Source organism: Homo sapiens, chromosome 6, assembly GCF_000001405.40.
Source record: "Homo sapiens chromosome 6, GRCh38.p14 Primary Assembly".
NCBI lineage: Eukaryota > Metazoa > Chordata > Mammalia > Primates > Hominidae > Homo > Homo sapiens.
In genome coordinates, this window is record NC_000006.12 from 52,540,226 (window position 1) to 52,558,775 (window position 18,550).

The 18,550-nt window shown below is 45.7% G+C and overlaps 1 protein-coding gene across 1 annotated transcript in view, besides 3 other annotated features; it reads right to left on the reverse strand.

Annotated features, from left to right (window-relative positions):
- Positions 1–18,550, reverse strand: part of TRAM2 (translocation associated membrane protein 2) — a 79,653-nt gene that overhangs the window by 42,818 nt on the left and 18,285 nt on the right. The gene's annotated exons all lie outside the window — the stretch shown is intronic.
- Positions 5,844–6,023: an enhancer, noted in NCBI's record as "active region_24684". NCBI's record gives its function as "activates an Ori minimal core promoter by ATAC-STARR-seq in GM12878 lymphoblastoid cells {active_cell/tissue: GM12878}" and the evidence as "EXISTENCE:reporter gene assay evidence [ECO:0000049][PMID:35858748]".
- Positions 6,074–6,123: an enhancer, noted in NCBI's record as "active region_24685". NCBI's record gives its function as "activates an Ori minimal core promoter by ATAC-STARR-seq in GM12878 lymphoblastoid cells {active_cell/tissue: GM12878}" and the evidence as "EXISTENCE:reporter gene assay evidence [ECO:0000049][PMID:35858748]".
- Positions 11,992–12,161: an enhancer, noted in NCBI's record as "experimental_92132 CRE fragment used in MPRA reporter constructs". NCBI's record gives its function as "activates a minimal promoter by MPRAs in K562 erythroleukemia cells, with activity observed for the non-introgressed 6:52417100 variant allele {active_cell/tissue: K562}" and the evidence as "EXISTENCE:reporter gene assay evidence [ECO:0000049][PMID:34662402]".

The following is an 18,550-nucleotide window of genomic DNA, read 5'->3' on the forward strand; positions in this document are numbered from 1 at the left end:
TACAAGCAGAAAAGGCAACATTCAACTTGATTTTTTAAAAACCTTGTCCCAAAAACAAACTTAGGAGGCACACAATACTGCACATAGAATAGAATGGTAATGTAAAATGGAAGCAGGAAAGAACACAAAAAATATGCATTTTAGGCAAAGAAAAGAAGCAAGGAATGAGGCTGATCCACAAAAATGCATTCCAGGAAGTCCTACTCATTGGCTAAAGGTGGCCAGAAATTTGGCTCCAAGCTTTTCTGCAGCCACCTGAAGGAGTGATCAGCTTCTAGATTGACCACATCCATCCATTAAAAAAGCAAAAAGCACTAGTCAAGAGCAGACTTACTTCTTCAGCCTTCTTCTGTGCCTTAAAAGGTCCTTTAGCACCCCAAGTCTTCACTCCATGACCCTCTCCCGACCTCAGACTAGGGATGAAACCACTAACAAGTCCCTCTCCGCAAGCACCAGCTGAGTTCCTGTAGCACACAGGGCTGAGAACCAGGAGCCTATTAAAAATGTCATTCCAATTATTTCTCATCCCTCTAAGGCTGTTTATAGGAAACATTATTGAGTTTAATAGCATTTTAAATGCCAAGCTCAGTGGGTAAAAGGTTAAAAGTGACAACGTGCTAATACACTAATGTAAAAGGAGAACACTGAATTATGTAGGAAGGGTCACATCACACACACACATATACACAGAGAGAAAGAGAGAGTGAGAAAGAGAGAAAGTTTCATTAAATTTTTAACTAAAACAGGGCATCAAACACAAAGGCAAAGGCCTTGAGCATGCTTGTGTAGCCATAACAAACCAAAACTGTTTCACATGCCATGCTGTATTAGGGGCACATGAACCTGAGCTCTTGGCTGCAACTAGACCAAGGATGCTGGTGAAATAGCTGCTTCCAGCTAAGCATAGTGGATGTGGATTCCAGTCCCAAGTCTGCTGTGGGCCAGCTGGGTGACCTTGGGCAGGACATTTCACCTCTCTAGACCCCAGTTTACTCATCTATTAATAACGACAACAACAGTTAATGTTATCGAGTGCTTATTTGGTGCCATGCATGAGTCCAAGGGCTTCACATAAATCTATCTCATGTCATCCCCACAATGACCCTACAAGATAGGTACTAATCATGTCCCCATTTCACAGATAAGCACGGGAAGGATAAAGCCAAAGGAGCAGCTCAGAACGAATGTCCTTAAAGGTCCTTCTCACCCTCAGCTCGAAAAGGTAAACTTTACCTGATTCTACTTACTTTCCAATGCCCAAAACGCAACCTTACACTGACAAACTTTCTAAGAGGTCTTTCCAGAAGTTTAAAATATATTGTTGCTTCTTCACTTTGTGAAGATAAGGTCTGGGTATCACCTATGTCTGACAGAGCAAGAAAATAAGGCCTCTCGGGTTAATCCACCACCTGCCAGCCACAGGCACTGGGTACACCTAGGCTTCCAGATGCCCAGATAGGTTCTCCTTTCACTGCAAGTTGTTAGCTGGTCACCAAAGATAAAAGAGAAGAACTGTGATGAAAGCAGTTTCATGGCTTCTCTTTTAAAGTATTAAATCCTTTGGTTCAGTTTATTCTGTTTTTTTTTTTTTTGGCAGACACATCCATGCATTGGCACTTGGAAGGGGCTGTGTGGGCAGACCAGCCCCCGGGGGCAGACAGGGTACAGAAGGCCTTATTTTACAGGAGCAGCTCTGCTCTTAATGACTTCTGTCCCACGGACACCACACCTCCCACCTAAAGGACAAAACACAGAGACACATATGTCCCACGACTGACAGTGAGGACCCTCATTTTTTCTTCCTGAGAAACACAGGGTAAAGCCAAGTGACAGGTCCTGCTGAGGCTGGGAAATTAGGTACCTAAAACTTCCCTTCTTCTCCCAGCTCGGCCTGTTTTTGGAAGCCAAAGGGTCTTCACTAAGGCTTTCCCCAGATTGATTTTGCATCTTTCTGCGGAGGAAGTGAATAGGAAAATTTCAGGCAGACAAGAAAACCTTGGAAAGTTACGCCCAATTGGTGGGGAAGAGATTTTTGGGTTTTTTTTTTTTTTAAAAAAAATAGTCTTTTAGCCTTTTTTCCTGGAGTGTTTATGTCCCAAGCCCACTGATCACCTGCATGCGCCAGGTATGTGGTCGGGGTGTGATGGACGTGGGTTTGCAGCCCCTCCACTGCTCGATAAAAGGCAGATACAGCTGAAACAAAGATGCTTTTCACTTGTGCTTTCTGAAAATCTCCGTTTTGAAGGGCCAGAGGCTGTCTGTGAGGGCTGAGCGCCTGAATCACAGGGGGCAGAGTTATGACAGTACCTTTCTGTGTGGCTTTTAGCAACGCCTAGAGATTCTGGTTTTTCACCTGAAAAACTGCCTTGATACAAAAATCAGGCAAAGCTAAACAAACACGCACACAACAGATTCTCTACAAGCCTGTGATCACGATGTTGAATAGACTCACTATTAACAGTTTTGATAGCAGTTTTAGATTAAAAGTGACATTGTGTATTTATGAAAAAAACTCGAAATTTGAATAGCCACAATAAAATTATATTACTTGGTTTGTTACAGTCATTGATTTAAAAGTCTAAACTTTATATTGGGATACAGAGGAATGTAGAAAGAGTCACAATAAAGGGTTTAAAAAATCTTTGAAGTTGGGCTTTTTAAAAAAGAGAATAAAGCTTGAACTTGCCATAATATACATCCCCAATTTGGGAAATTAATCGGGTACTGAAAAACAGAGGGTGGCCTAGGGAAAGCCCTTCCCCACTGCCTTTATATCCACAAGTTAATTATAACTTTAAGAAGACTGTGTATTTATGCAATTTATGCTGGTATAGCTTGAACTTGGCCTTCTACGTGCTTTATAGATAGCCTTATATAAAACATACGAATTTGCTGAAGTAAATGTATTACTTCTTTGAGAGCCTTAATATATATATTCTCATCCTCCCCTAAAAAAAAGCACTGACTAGGTATTTCTAATACTTACCACTTGATTATATACTTCACTCTCACTCACACCCACCTGCCCCCACCAAGTAGCTTTTCCCCTTATCTGGATAGCATAGCATACTCATAAACCATTCCTTATGGAAGCTAAAAACTACATAAAAAATTTTAAATGCTCAGGCAAAATAATTTTCCAGAATAGTGACATTCTTAATATTTATTTCTCCTGCATCATGGGGCAGAGTTCATATTACTGGTTGTGTTTGGATATGAGTAAAACACACATTGGTCAGAACAAAATGTTTTTACTTTTGGCCAAAAGCCACCTGTTCTGATGCAGTATCATTGATACATTAAAAATAATAACATAAAAAAGAAAGGATTATGGAGTGAAAAATTTTAGGTTGTGAGTTATTTTTGGAGAGTTCAGATTAGGTAATATTTTAGACTTGACTACAGAAAAGAAACCCCTCACCGGTGTAGCACAGTGTCATTTCAGCTGTAGTTTTTAAAGATGTTTTCGCTCCGTAAGACAGAAAGCAAAAAGAGAGGAGGGTCATTCTAATCAGTATAGATGTGTCTGCGACATCCTGTCTGTCACTAATCTTCAGCAAGCAACAAGAGTGGGTGCCAGGGAGAATCATCCCCAAGGAACTTCTGGCATTTCCTGGTATTCAGGGAAATAAAAGGATTATTCAAGGTCTCCACATACTCAGGGTAGCTGGACCAGGCAGGACCCAGGTATATTTGCCTTCATTTGCTTGTTTGCTCTTAGAGAAAGCCAGAGTTGGCAGACAGTGACCTGCTGCAACCATTTCAAATTATTCTCCACCACCTTGAAAGTTTCAAACATCAGCATGTTGACCCCCACATTTTGACTGAAGAGCTAGGCACGTGGATTAGAGCCTGCTAAGAAAATGAACCATGAGTTCACACAGCGATGGAGCAGGGTGAAGCCATCTCCGGGGGCCATAAACCAGGCCCGTCAGCAGGGCTGCAGGCCAATTCTCACAGGAAGCCTTCAAATTCCTCTGGGTATTTGTGTAGGGGCACATAAAGACAGGCCTTGACCCTGGATGTCAACCTCCGCCTATCATTAAACTAAGCAAACTGAGGCCGGAAAGTGAAAATATGAGTTTTTTAAATGTTAGATGTGTGATCTCTGTGTCCTAGTTTCCATACTACCCCTACTCCATGGAGGAGTGTGTCAGTAAAAGAGCTTAAATGAGGGGTCCCAAGGAGTTGGCCATGGTACCATTCCAGTAGCTTTAGAAGTCAAGGTCAGGCTGGGGACCTCTGCTATGTGTGTCTCACTTCTGAATCACCTTGGTTTCCTGTCACTCTCTGTTACAGCAGTGCATCCTCCTCCTGTGGGAAATGCATCCTAACACACTCGGCACTGGCGTTTGAGTCCATCTTGCTCGAGTCTACAAAGACCGGCCAATGACCACCTACGTGAGGGAACCCGATAAGCAGAACTTCATGATGATGATTTGATTCCAGCGTCTTAAACCAAGGCCAAGAACATTAATGAAAAACATCCAGCACTCAAATGTCTCTGTTTGTCAGCAAATAATATTCACAAGGGGATATTCAGAATCATCTTCAAAGTGGAGAAGGAAAATAACAACATAAAAGGCAAGAGTTCCCAGGAAAATGTGCTACAGATGAACAGGAGATACAAATATAACACCAAAGGCAGGGCCTCAGGTAAACACTCCCCACACTTTGCCACAAACCAGTCTCCGCATACCCCTAAGCCAAATAAACAAAGCCTGGGCAAATGTCAATATTTAAATACCATATCCCAAGGTTTCTCTCTCACATACACAGTTATATACGTATAAAATCTCATTAGACTAACTTGAAAGTGGGTTTTAACTAAAATATAAAAAGACTTGGGGATTTTTTCTCAGTCCTGCTAGGCTAGTCTCCATTCCAAGCTCTAGCATCCCAGGAATCTGATGGTGACTTCATGCAGGGCAAAGGTGGCCCAGGAAGAAAACCAAAAATTAGACGGAGAGGCTGGACCCCCATCTGAACTCACAGCTGGGTCTCAGAGGTTGACAGGAGGCATCAGACACCCTCGGCCATGGCTCAATGTGCAAAACCCCACTTGGGGCTGAATGCAGGCCTTGGAGCAAGGTCCAGGAGGCCAGGTGTCCCCCACCCGAGGCCCATTAAGTAAGTCTCTTTCAGGGGGCTACAAGAAGGGACAGGAACTGCCTGGGACACGAATGACCTTAAGCTTTTGCCAAGAAGCACAGATAATCTCTCTGTAAGAAAATCACAGGGTAAGAGCATAAGAAGGGGCGGACACACACAAAGAGAAGGAAAGAGGAAAGCAGCTCTCCTGCCAAGGCCTTGCAGGAGTAGGGGAGGAATTGGGAGCATGGTTCTCTTCCTTCATTCTCCTAGTCACTGCTATGAACCCCACCCCCACCTATTGCACACATACCCAAGGCCACACAAGGAACCAAGGCCATGGCCTTGCCAAGGGCAGCTGGAAGAACCAACCCCAAGTGCTGTTTCTGCCATCTCCCTCTGACCAAGCTCCGGAAAAGACAACAGATCCATCTTAAAATTCCACAGGCCCTGTTCCATAGTCCTCCATGGCTCCCTATTGCTCAGGAGAGAATCAGGACCTATGCTGACATTCCAACTCCAAGGTGGCCCTACCTTGCTTTTCATGTTTTGCCCCCACTCCCACACTCAGGAATTTTGCTCCAACCCCACACCCAGCACCACCATCCCAGGTAGGAATGGTACCACCGCTCAAATGTGCAGCCCAGACAGATAAATCAGTATGCAAAAAAGTCATTTACAACACAACAGAATCATCATTCTCACAGGGCAAGTACAGGCGGTTCAGGATGGAGAGGCTCCTGACTGTGAGAACTGAGGCTGCCCCACCCCAGGGAAAACTTCACCAGCAACGTTCTACCTGATCTGCACTCTGAAGGGCTGAAGAGGCAAACAGGAGGCAGGAAGGGTGCTACAGGCTGAGGGAACTGCATGCACTAAAGCAGAGAGAAGGGAGAAATGTGACTCCCTGGGAAAATGAGGGGCCTGTGTATGGATGGTAGTGAGGCTGGAAGGTTGGCAGAAGGCAGGTCCTATGAAGGACCCTTTACAGCAGCAGATATAAAAATAGAACTTCATCCTACACATGAGAGGTAGCCACTGATGGTTTTCAAGCAGGGGACAACCCAAGGTGATTTCCATTGCACAAATCTCATTCTTCTCACAGTGTAGAGAAAGGGCTGGAGACGGGAGGTGAGCTAGGCAGCACAGAGACTTAGGTTACTGCAAGAAGAGATCATCCAGGCCTGGACTTAGGTAGTGGCAACAGACCTGGGGTGGTGCTAGGCAATTTTCAAAAGACTTGATGGCACAATTAATTAAGGTGAGGGAATGGCCAAAAGTGGTGCTCAGGTCTTGTTCAGGAAACAGACACACAAATGTCCAATTTAAATAAAATGTGCTAGGGGTGATGACAGATATTCACAGGGTGTTGTGGATGGCTGGGGGTGTGAGAGGGGAGAAGGGCGCTGAGAAGGCACAGTCAGAGGGGCCAGAGGAAACCCAGAAGGAGCCCAGCAGCCCAGGCAGGAGACCATTGTAAGGAGTCAGCTGCACACCTGCAGATGCCCCAGGGAGGACCAGTCAACTCAGGACTGAAATGTGAGCAGCCCGTGACCAGGTTTTTGTTTTGTTTTCTGATGGGTCCCAAGTGCCTACAACAGCGCTTGGCACATAGTGGGGATTAATAAATATTTATGTAATGAATGTGTGAAGTGTCCATCAGATTTGTAAACCAGAGGTCACTGGTAAATGCTGCCAAAGCTGGAGGAAAGGAGGGGCAGAGCTGGTGTGTATGGGTGAGCATGGAGTGGGAGTGTGGAGACAGAAGTGTGGACTGCTCGGTCTAGCAGCTCAACTCTGAAGGAAAGCAAAGAGCTCGGGAGCTAGAGAGGAGTGGACAGTCAGGGAGGTGCGGGAGAAGCTTAGACCACGTGTGGTGACAAGAAGGACCATGGAGAGAAATGTGGTTGGACATGCAGAAAAACAAGGGGGCCTAGAGAGGATGATCTCCTGGGAATTACACCAATCCAACGGGTATTTCTTCAGGAACTGAGATCCAGTGCTGCAGAGAGGGATGCCCAAGAGGGTGCACTGGGCCTGGGCAGCTTTTGTTAAGACCACGCCCTTTCTCAGTTCCCCAAGACCCCTGCTGCTTGTGCAGTTCGGACACCTTGTCTTGATACACACACCAGCTATGGAGAAGACGCTCAATAAACACCCCATGAATTAATGTACTTTCAGAGGAGCTAGAGGGGAGAGAGGCAAAAACAAAATGAACATCCTTCCTCCACTATATTCGCAAAGGGGCTGGGAAATTTTCTGCTATTTAATCAATTCTTTTGAACCGATGCTACACTGCCACTCTCAGCAGCTGTGACTTTACTTTCATTCATTTCTCTAGAGGGACAGGCAGGGCCACCTAGATGGATTTACAAGGGATGACTGTTCTGCACGTTCCCAGGGGGAGAACTGTCAGGGTGCCAAAGGGGTGGAGGGCCACGGGAGGCCTCCGGTCTCCTCTCAGCCTGTCAGCCTTTATTGCGTCGGCTGGACTGACAGAGTTCAGAATCAGAACCCACAGATATGCAGATAAGCACCTGGCCATGGGCCAGGATCCATATTCACACTCTACAGCCACAGTGACTGCTGCCATAACCATGGGGCAATTCCAGATCTGACAATGGCCACACAGGGTTTTCTAAACAGATATGTCATGGAAAGCATTAGAAGTATGGTGTGTTTGTGTGCTTATGTTCATGTGCACAAAGCTGGCTGGTAAGGCACTTTCACACCCTAGTAATATGTCTTTGTTTAGCACTGTCCCTACAAAACAAAATATAAACATTTTTAAAAATCAATTCTTCAATCACAAAATATTGAGCACATGCTCTGGGCAAGGCACAATGCTACTGGAGATGAAAGCAATTACGAGACCCGCTTCCTTCTCTCAAAGGCTCAGGACCAGAATCCAGAGTCAGGCTATACATCTATCTACTCCAACTCCATTATCACGAAGACGATAAAACCAACCACTCTTCTTTGAATATTTACTGCAAGCCAGGCAAGGTAAAGGCATTTTACACAATCACATCAAATAATCCTCAGCAACCCTGCAAGGAGCGACAATGACATCTAACGTGTGAGATCTTATGAAATGCCAGGCACTGTGCTAAACGCCAAACAGGATTACCTCATCTAACCTCCAACTCTATAAGGAACTGCTACATTACTACTATTCACTGAACTTCTATCACCTGCCAGGAACTGCTCTGAACACTTACAGAAATGATCTCACTTAATGCTCCCAGAGGCCCTAATGTGCAGAAAAGTGAGGCCCAAAAAGCTTAAGCAACACGCCCCAAGGCACACAGTTAATAAGCCCCAGAAGCGGGACTAGAATCCAAGATCCATCTGACCGTGACATCTGGACTGTTAATCACCATGCTACCTGAACGATGTGCCTAAGATCTAATGATCAAAATGAGACCTTGATGCATAAAGGGTTCATTTTAAGACAAGAGATGTCATAGATCAGGACAGCGTTAGGCAAAGGGCAAGTGGAAGCTCCTTTGCTTTCTCCAGGGCAAAGACCATGTCTTTATTTATCTCCATACCCACAGTGTTCTTGGCACAAAGGAGAGACCCAAAAAACATCTGTTAGTGCCCTGGGTTTGGAGATTTCTGGACCTTCTCTGAGAAGATTTCTGCGAGGCGGTGATTTGAGCCAGAAACATGTACAGAAAGTGGATAAAAGGGGGCAGGTGAGGGTTAGAACAGAATCATGATGGCACTGAGAAAGGACTGGAGAAGGCCTAGAGATACAATGGTTTAGCTTAGGATAGTCATAACGGCTTTACGGGGGCTGTCCACCGTGTGGTCCAACTTCAGATCTCAGCTGTGCCCATTTGTTTCAAATGAACTAGTCTAAAATGGAAGAAACGATATCTGGCCCTCAGACCCCTTAAAGCTTTCCTTCCCTTCCTTCCCTCCTTCCCTCCCTTCCCTCCTTCCCTCCCTCCCTCCCTTCCTTCCAAAAGCTGCCCAAAATCAACTGTCTGTCTCCTGAGTTCATCAGTGGGGATACCATCTATTCCAGCATGGTGCGCATTTCAAAGCTTTGCTTCCCACAATGATTCAAGCCAAGATAAAGAAATGATTGTCTCCCTCAAAGTATAAAGGAGGCAACATCGTAACATAAAATTTGAAAGTCTCTTCAGCCACAAAACTCTAAAAAACCATCTCATATTTCATAATTAAACAATTAAATTTCATCAGTTACCTAACAAATACGGGAGTCCAAGCTCCTGCATGTGAAACAGTCAAGAAAGCCATTTCCTGTTGGATACAGATACTCAAAGACTAGTAGTAATTAGACACGGTGATTAGAATTCCATTTATGCTGCACCAGAAACTCCTCTTGGTCCCTGAGGGCTAGGGTGCAAATCACTGGGGCAAGAGAAGGAAATGGGTTTAAGTGGTGCTTGAGTATTATCTGAACCAGCCAAAAGATGGAAGTGGAAGCATTTAATGCGCCATCACTTTAAGAAGCAATGGTGATTCTAAATCTCACCAGAAATCAGGGCAAGAGTAGCTTAAAGTTAGATGTGTTGCACTATTTGGCTTATTACAATCAGGAAACGTCTGTCCAAAAGTCCTATTCTCAGAGATGGTAGTATTTCAGGGACATCAGTTTAGCTTTGCCACCCTTTGATTGCCTGTTGTCATATATGAGGTAGGAGTCAAACAGAAGGCAGAATAGCATCTGTAAGTTCTACTGGGCTGCACAATGCTCCATCCTACCCTGTGTCCCAGAACAGACAGCTTCACCTTTATGGAGTACTTCAGTGGGCTTCCGATGGAATCTGCAGAACATGAGAGAGCATGAAAGGGGTATTCATCACCTGGCTCCTTTCCTGCTGGACAGTTCTGGCAGTCACTGCAACCCTCCACCAAAACTCCAGCCCCTCCCCTTCAACCACAGCTCTCAATGGTATTTCCTCTCTCCCTTCCTTCTTAGTTCTAGATCCATGCTATCCTCAGCCCCTTCAAGCTTAGGGATAGCTCCCCACGTTCGCAAGCCTTAGAATGCTTTACTGTTCCTTATCTGTTTCCCCTGAGCCAGTCCACGCCCTTGTTAATAGTGCCTACATAACCATTCCTCAATTACCCCACCTGTTTCCTGTTGGGACTCTGACTGATGGAGATATGCTACTCAAATAAAAGAATACTAACACCATATGATAATAATTAACCTCATCAACGTAACTGCTGGCAATGGGACACTATTTTTATTTTTTATTTTTATTTTTTTTGCGACAGGGTTTCACTCCCGTCATCCAGACTGGAGTGCAGTGGCAAGATCTTAGTTCACTGCAGCCTCTGCCTCCCAGGCTCACGTGATTCTCCTGCCTCAGCCTCCCGAATAGCTAGGATTACAGGAATGCACCACCACACCCGGCTAATTTTTGTACTTTTAGTAGAGATGGGGTTTCATCATGTTGGCCAGGCTGTTCTTGAACTCCTGGCCTCAAGAGATCCACCTGCCTTGGCCTCCCACCTGCCTTGGCCTCCCAAAGTGCTGGGATTACAGGAGTGTGCCACCATGCCCAACCGAATAGGACACTTTAAACCAGCAAAATTATCCTCCACACACATCCTGGTACTACCCCTCATGAAACGCATGGGAGGCAGACAAATCGCCACTCTTTATGGGCCATCTAATTTCCAAAGGACCAACAGTGTTGATAACCCACTTCAGAAATGGTTTTCTTTAGGCATGACACCCTGGGACTGGCTTCTCACAAACTCAGATCAAGATAAACCACTGTGGTGGACGAACAGTTTCCTGCCTGAGTTTTTCAAGGGGGCCTTTACTGAGGCAGGAGGAGGTGAATATAGGATTTTGAGGACACCACTGGCCTCAGGCTGCAGTGACAAATATGAGTCCTGGCTTCATGAACACTCGATCACATAGCTTTATTATTTTGGAAAAACATATCCGTTATGAATGGGGACTGGCTCTACACTAACCAATAATGTCTCCTAATTAATATCTGATCTGTTTCAGCCCGGAAGGCAAAGGATCTTTTACCTTTATGTGCTCAGAGTGCCACACAGGGTTGCTTGGATGTAGGGATTACGCTGCTAGTCCCTAGCCATTTACCTCCCTTTCACAAAGGGATTCTTTCTAACGTTTTCAGGATAGAGCAGCAACTGGAGTGAGGGTGGGCATGCAGGGGAGGGTGAATGAGGGAGGAGAGAAAGTCTGCAAACAAACGGGCCACTTATCTCCAGGAGTCTTTCTACCTTTTCCTACAGCTGAGTAGCTTGGGGGCAGGTTGTCTGCCAAGCTTCCCTGGCCCGTGTAAACACTCTGGCACCAGCTGGGGTTTGGAATCTGCTGAGTCTCTGCCAGCTGGCAACCTGGAGATGGGTCAGATTAAAGGAATGCATAATGAAGAAGTGGGTGGGAGACAGAGGCTGTATTTACACAGAGGGGGTCTGCAGGGGTCAGTACGGCGCTAGCCAAAGGGGCCTCTGGAAGTGGAAAAATAGGAAGGGAAGAGGAAGGGGTTTCAATGTGCCCAAGCACCATGCCCCACCCAACTGGCCCAAGACTGTTATGTTCATTTATTTTTTTCCTTTTAAAAACTGACTTCTTTGTCCCCTTCTCAGTCCCCCACAGCATCTCCCAAGCCAATTACACACAGCCCTTTGAAAGGTTTGCAGCTGGCCGCTCGAGAAGGCTCAGCGTGATCAGACAACACGGACACTTGATCTTCTGAGATCCCAATTTGGGAACGTTAACACGGAAACCCTAGCCACGTGCTGACAAGCAGGCCCTGGGCCACATTCTGCCCCAGACTGAGCCCTGGCAAGAGGAGAGGGCACAGATAGCCAGCAGTCTCAGGCAGCCATCCTGGCTTCCAGCCTTAAAGAGAGCGAGATTCCAGGCTCCTCCCCCATGCAAAGCCCAGGGGGCACGGATGCAGAGAGGACAGCCCTGGGACAGGACCAACAGGCTCCCCAGCCCTTTCACTACCCCGAGGAGGCAACGAAGACAAGAACAGACTGAAATCTGTTGGGTACTTGGTGGCCACACCTGCTAGGAAGGCCACCTGCAGCTCTACTGAAGCCCATGCAAATAGGTAAAGCTCAAATGGCTGTACATATATTACTAAGAGGAAGCAGAAGGGAGAAAAGTGCAGTGAGGAGGCAAGAGACCTGTTCCCTGACAGCTCAGCCACAAACCCGACGGGCTGCTTCCAGCTGCTCCCATCCACCTCACTGGGCCTCAGAGTTCTCATGTTTTAAGGGTGTTCTCTGAAGTCCCTTTGTATCCACGGATTCTTCCCCATGCTTCTGTGACACGGCTTCACTTCCAGGCTCCCAGTGCAAGCCTCAGCTCTTCTTGCTTTCTTGGAAATCTCTGCTGTAGCAGCCACTTCTATTCCGGCGACACTCAGATCTACTTTTCCTGCTGAAATCTTTCTCCCCAGGATGGGAGGTGGGAGGCTGCATCTTTACCTACATAGTGCATGATTAACTCCCGTTCAACATGCCAAACCTGGTGCCCAGGAGAAAGCTCTATACTTGCCTATGTCCCAGGCTGCAGTCAAAGACTCCCCACCTTTCCTTATAGCCCCTTGTTGGCTTTTTCCTTTACTATTTTATTAAATCCATCATTTCTACTCCCAATGCTGCTAAGAGCTTCATATTCTCATTTGCCACCAGCCTGTAGGAGAGACTTCTAACTGGATCCTCAGCCTCAAGACTCAAAACCCCTTCCTCCCCTCCCACTATCCATAGCTAGAATAGCCAGGCATATACACACAAACATACACGCACACACCACAGCCCCTCCATTGCCTTCTGCTGCTTAAAGGATAATGTCTAACTCTTTAATCTGGCATTCCTAATCCTCCCTGCCTCTCCACATTTGATTATCACAACTTTCCAAACTAATATGATAGTCCTGGATGTCCTAAAGGATATATTAAGGATATTATTCCATTAAATACTCTCCAAGATCAACAAATGTATTTGGTAGAGAAATATGTAACTCATTAATACTATATGAAGGCTCTGACAAGTCCTGCAATAAAGAAACAGTAAAGAAACAGCCTAGCATTTCCCAGGGCAATCTGGCCCAGGAACCCTTGTGTAGCAGCATGTGTAGTAGCCGCTTTCTTTGATTCTCTGAATGTCCTTTCTTGCCTGCACTCCAGCCATCTGCTCTGCCTTCCATTTGTTCATCTGCCTTGGCTTTCCTTTGAGAGCCTGCTCCAGCCTCACCTCCTCCTTCCTCCTCCCCATTCTACCATCACTCCTCTTGGCTGCTTCCTCCTCACACCTGAAGCACTCACTGCCTGTACCTCTTTGTTGAGAGATAGTAGAGCACAATAGTTAAGAGCCCAGATTTTGGATTCAGAAAGACCTGTGTCAAAATCCCAATTCTGCCCTCACTAACTCTGAAATGGAGTTGTTCAGTTGCTTGGTGTAGACAGAGATAGAATCCATAAAGAGGACTATGGAGGGGACTAGTGGGATTAGAAGGTCAAATGTAGCACAAGGCCTAGCACATCACAGGTATTCAATAAATAACAATTAGTCATTCTTCCTCTTGTTTTTTATCATTGCTTTGTCATTTATCATTTTCTGGGTTCTCCTGCCCCTACCCTTTGCATAAATCAAGCTTAACAAATACGTGCTGATAAGCCACCAGCAGCAACAGCTCCATCTTCCATGGGACAGCAGGAAGACACCCCAACCTGCCAGCCCTGAGCACACCATCCGCCCCAGCACACCATCTGCCCCAGCCTACCAGCCCTGAGCAAGAGGCTCTCCCAGGCAATCAAGTCCTAGAACTTCACAGAACCCCTCAATGTTACCACCCAGCCCTGTCCCCACCGCCTGTTTGCTTACTGCACCCCTGGGAAGGGATGCGGAGGCAGGGCATCCCACTTTGGTTTTGAAAACCAAAGTGGGCCAGGCGCGGTGACTCCCACCTCTAATCCCAGCACTTTGGGAAGTAGAGGCAGATGGATCACCTGAGGTCAGGAGTTCGAGACCAGCCTGGCCAACATGGTGAAAACCTGTCTCTACTAAAAATACAAAATTAGGCGTGGTGGTGCGTGTCTGTAATCCCAGCTACTCGGGTGGCTGAGGCAAGAGAATCGCTTGAATCCAGGAGGCAGAGGTTGCAGTGAGCAGATATCATGTCACTGCACTCCAGCCTGGGCAACAGAGTGAGACCCCATCTCAAAAAAAAAAAAAAAAAAAGAAAGAAAGAAAACCAAAGTGAACAGATCTCACCCAAACCCAAAAGCTGACTGGGTAACTTATTTCCACAGCCTCTCAATGGGGCAGCAATGGGCTACTGTGTTGGGGTTTAAATTTTTCAAATTTTCACCATTTCAACAACCATTTCACCAAAGGCCATTTCATCCATGTGCCTTGTGTAGTTAATGTCTAGAAGTAAGAAGTTACATTTCCACTTAGAGTCAATCCTTTTTTTTTTTTTTTTTTAACAGAGGGTCTTGCTCTGTGGGCCAGGCTGGAGTGCAGTGGGGTGCAACCACAGCTCACCACAGCCTCAACCTCCCAGCCTCAAATGATCCTCCTACCTCAGCCTCTTCAGTAGCTGAGGTACACGCCACCATGCCGAGGCTGGTCTCGAACTCCTGGCCTCAAGGGATCCTCCTGCCTCAGCCTCCCGAAGTGCTGAGATAACAAGTGTGAGCCACTGTGCCTGGCCAACTTCTAGTCAATCCTGACTTGAGTTTTTCTTGATGCTTTTGTATCCTTCTCTGACTGGTCTAATACCCTCACTTTCACCTTCTGAGTCACTGTTCAAAAGGCTTCTGAAAAGTAACACTTTGATTTATGTTAGATGGGAATGGTATCTGTAAGATCCAGGGTGCGGGCTTCTCTTTCCAGCATCCCTTGGCTGTCAAGCCCCCTCCTCCTGCCCTCTTCGCTCTCCCACTTCCACCCCCACCCTCCACCTGTGCCCTGGCTTCTACCCCCAACCCACCACCTCTCCCCCAGCAGCAGGCTTATCACTAATCCAAACTTTCTATTTTTCCATTCCCAAAACAAAACCACTTTAACATTGCCTTTTTCTGATCATCAAAATAATATGCATTTCATTAAAACAAATATATATATATGAATAGACAGATATAAGCGTGGAGAAAAAAAGTAAAATTACTTGAAATCCTACGACAGAGAAAAACACTGGTGCTATTTTGATGATCATCCTTACAGGTATTTTTCTATAAAAATAAAACACATCCAAACGTTTACAGAAAAAGGCCCACACCAATATGGTATTCTGTAAGCTGCTTTTAAAAAAACCATAACCATATGTTTTGGACATCATTCTATGACACTGCATACAGATTTATGTCACCATTTTAAATTGATCTAACCAATCCCTTACTGGTAGGCATTTAGGACAACCTCATCTTTAAAAAATGCTAACATCTCAAAATATTTGGATATACTATTGAGTGGGAAAAAAATCAGAATTCAGCCTGTGCATTCTTATTACAACCATAAAAAATCATAGTGTCCAGGCACAAAAACAGAGTAAAAATTAAGTCAATTTTTTAAAGTGGAAGAGCTATAGGAGATCTGCTTATAAAAGTGGTATTTACACAGAAAAGAAAGTCCTTCAACAAAAACAACATGTAAAACGCAAAATCTCTGTTATTTTTAAACATGTTATGATGGTTAGGTCACGCCTCAGTATAAAATATTTCAAGCAGCTGATCTCCATTTAATTTAACCTCATAGTTTTCTTCCCAGTGGGAGAGGGAGACAGCACTAAGCAGTGCTGAAGCCATATGATCTTTGAGAAGGGACAAGGTGAGGGGTAATTCTGGAGCTTGTGGCTCTTGGGGGAGGGCATTCATGGGCAGAGCCGGGGGCTGGGGGCTCAGGCACGCAGGGAGAAGTGGGGCTCAGAGGTCACCGAGAAGCCCTCCGCAAACCCACTCAATCTGTACTTTTTGTTTTGTTTGGCTTTTTTTTTTTTTGAGACAAAGTCTTGCTGTCTCGCCCAGACTGGAGTGCAGTGGCACAATCTCAGCTCACTGAAACCTACACCTCCCGGGTTCAAGTGATTCTCCTGTCTCAGCCTCCCAAGTAGCTGGAAGTACAGGCATGTGCCACAACACCCAGCTAATTTGTTGTATTTTTAGTAGAGATGGGGTTTCACCATGTTGGCCAGCCTGGTCTCAAACCCCTGACCTCAAGTGATCCACTCGCCTTGCCCCCACAGAGTGTTGGGATTACAGGCATAAGTCACTGTGCCTGGCCCAATCTGTAAATTTCTTAACAGTCTTCGTGGGTCAGGCAGCAATGTTTGAGTGTAAAAGGTATAGGCCAGGCACAGTGGCTCATGCCTGTAATCCCAGCTCTTTGGGAGGCTAAGACAGGCAGATCACTTGAGGTCAGGAGTTTGAGACCGGCCTGGCCAACATGGCAAAACCCCATCTCTACTAAAAATACAAAAATTAGCTGGGTGTGATGGTGCATGCCTGTAGTCCCAGCTACTCGGGAGGCCGAGGCAGGGGAATTGCTTGAACCCAGGAGGCGGAGGTTGCAGTGAGCCAATATCGTGCCACTGCACTTCAGCCTGGATGACAGAGTGAGACTCCATCTCAAAAAAAAAAAAAAAAATCATTTTGGGAGGCCGAGGTGGGCAGATCACCTGAGGTCAGGAGTTCGAGACCACCCTGGCCAACATGGCAAAACCCTGTCTCTACTAAAAATACAAAAGTTAGCCAGTGTGGTGGCGGGCACCTGTAATCCCAACTACTTAGGAGGCTGAGGCAGGAGAATCGCATGGGCCTGGGAGGCGGAGGCTGCAGTGAGCCAAGATCACACCGTTGCACTCCAGCCTGGGAGACAAAGCAAAACTCTGTCTCAAAAAAAAAAGATATGTCTGGTGAGGAACGGATGCACCAGGATGTACAGACTGTACATAACCTATAATATGAAAATTAGAGGCACATAAAATGGCTGCTTAATGACAGAGACAATACTCATGGAATTAATTAATTAATATTCAGGTACTCTGAACAAATACATTGAGTCCTTACTGTATATCAGGTTCTATAAGGATGCCATGCATGCATTATTCACTTATTTGGTCCTTTCAAAAACTCACTGAAGTAGGTACAAGAATTTTCAACCCCATTTTACTGACAAGGAAACGGCCACAGTTAAGTAACTTCATCATGTTATCTAGTTAAGTACAGGAGTCGGTAAAGAATCAGACAATCTAAATCAAAGCCTGCACTCACCACGCATGCATAACACCGTATTTATAAGCCCCATGTGACATGGCAATGAGAAATGGAGAATCAGGGTGTATGTCCTGATAAGGCAACTGAGCCTCAAATCTGCAGCCTATTTTTCCAGGGAAGAAGAGCCTGTGAGTTAATCATCATAATAAACCTTTTCCAAAAGGAGCTCTATATACTATATAAGAATGCCCTATCTTTCACTTTCAAGAGGTCTCCATGGAAATGAACAAAATCAAATGTGACCTGGAGCCAGTTCTCTGCAATCTGTTTAGTTTTACACATACCCCTAATCTGGGACTTCGGCCACGTCACCATGGCCATTTTTTAGACACAAAATGAAGAAAAGGCACTTAGGAGTAATCACAGAAGTCACTCCTAGAGGAAGCTGAGCTTGCAAGCTGAAGGACAGTATATTTAGCTTAAATATGATGACTGGAAAGTCTAGGATACTATATTTGGGCAAACTGTTGATTTGGGGTTTGGTGAAGTTCTGGTTTTGGCAGCAGCGCCCTTCTCCTGCCCTACCCCCACCTCAGGCCACGTGGGCTCAGCTATAGAGCACAGCTCTCGCACAAGCAAAACCTGCAGACTTGGCCTCCCCGGGGTTCTGGGGAGCAGAGAAATTCCTTCAGGGATTGACAGGGTGAGAAACTACTTGCAATCAGCAAGTAGCCAAACCGGATGCCAGAAGAGAAGGAGCCCGGGAGCACCAGGTGGGAGCAGGCCCAAAAGCCCCCCACGTCCAGTCCCATAAGGAGTACCTCACCACTCTGGCCATCCTGAACTGTAACCACTGGTTTTCCTATCTGTCTTCCCCATTAGACTGAGCAGGGAGTGTATCTTGATAATCTCAGAGCAGCTGCTCAATAACTGTGGAATGAACTGAAGAGTTCTGGAGATTGGTTGCACAATGTGGATGTGCTTAACACTACTTAACGGCACACTTAAAAATGGTTAAGATGGCAGATTTAATGTTACATGTATTTTACATAATTTTTAAGAAAACACAATAGTGACACTATTACAGCAAACAAAAGGTAATAGCACTTGGATCCTTCTAACACTCACTGTATGAAATCTGGTAGCGTGTAGGTGGAGTAATTTGAGTTTAGGAAGTATGGGAGGGTTAATTAGGTGACCTCCCATACACCCTGTTAATGGTGAATCATGATTTGCTGCAACAAAAAGTCACAGAGCAATGG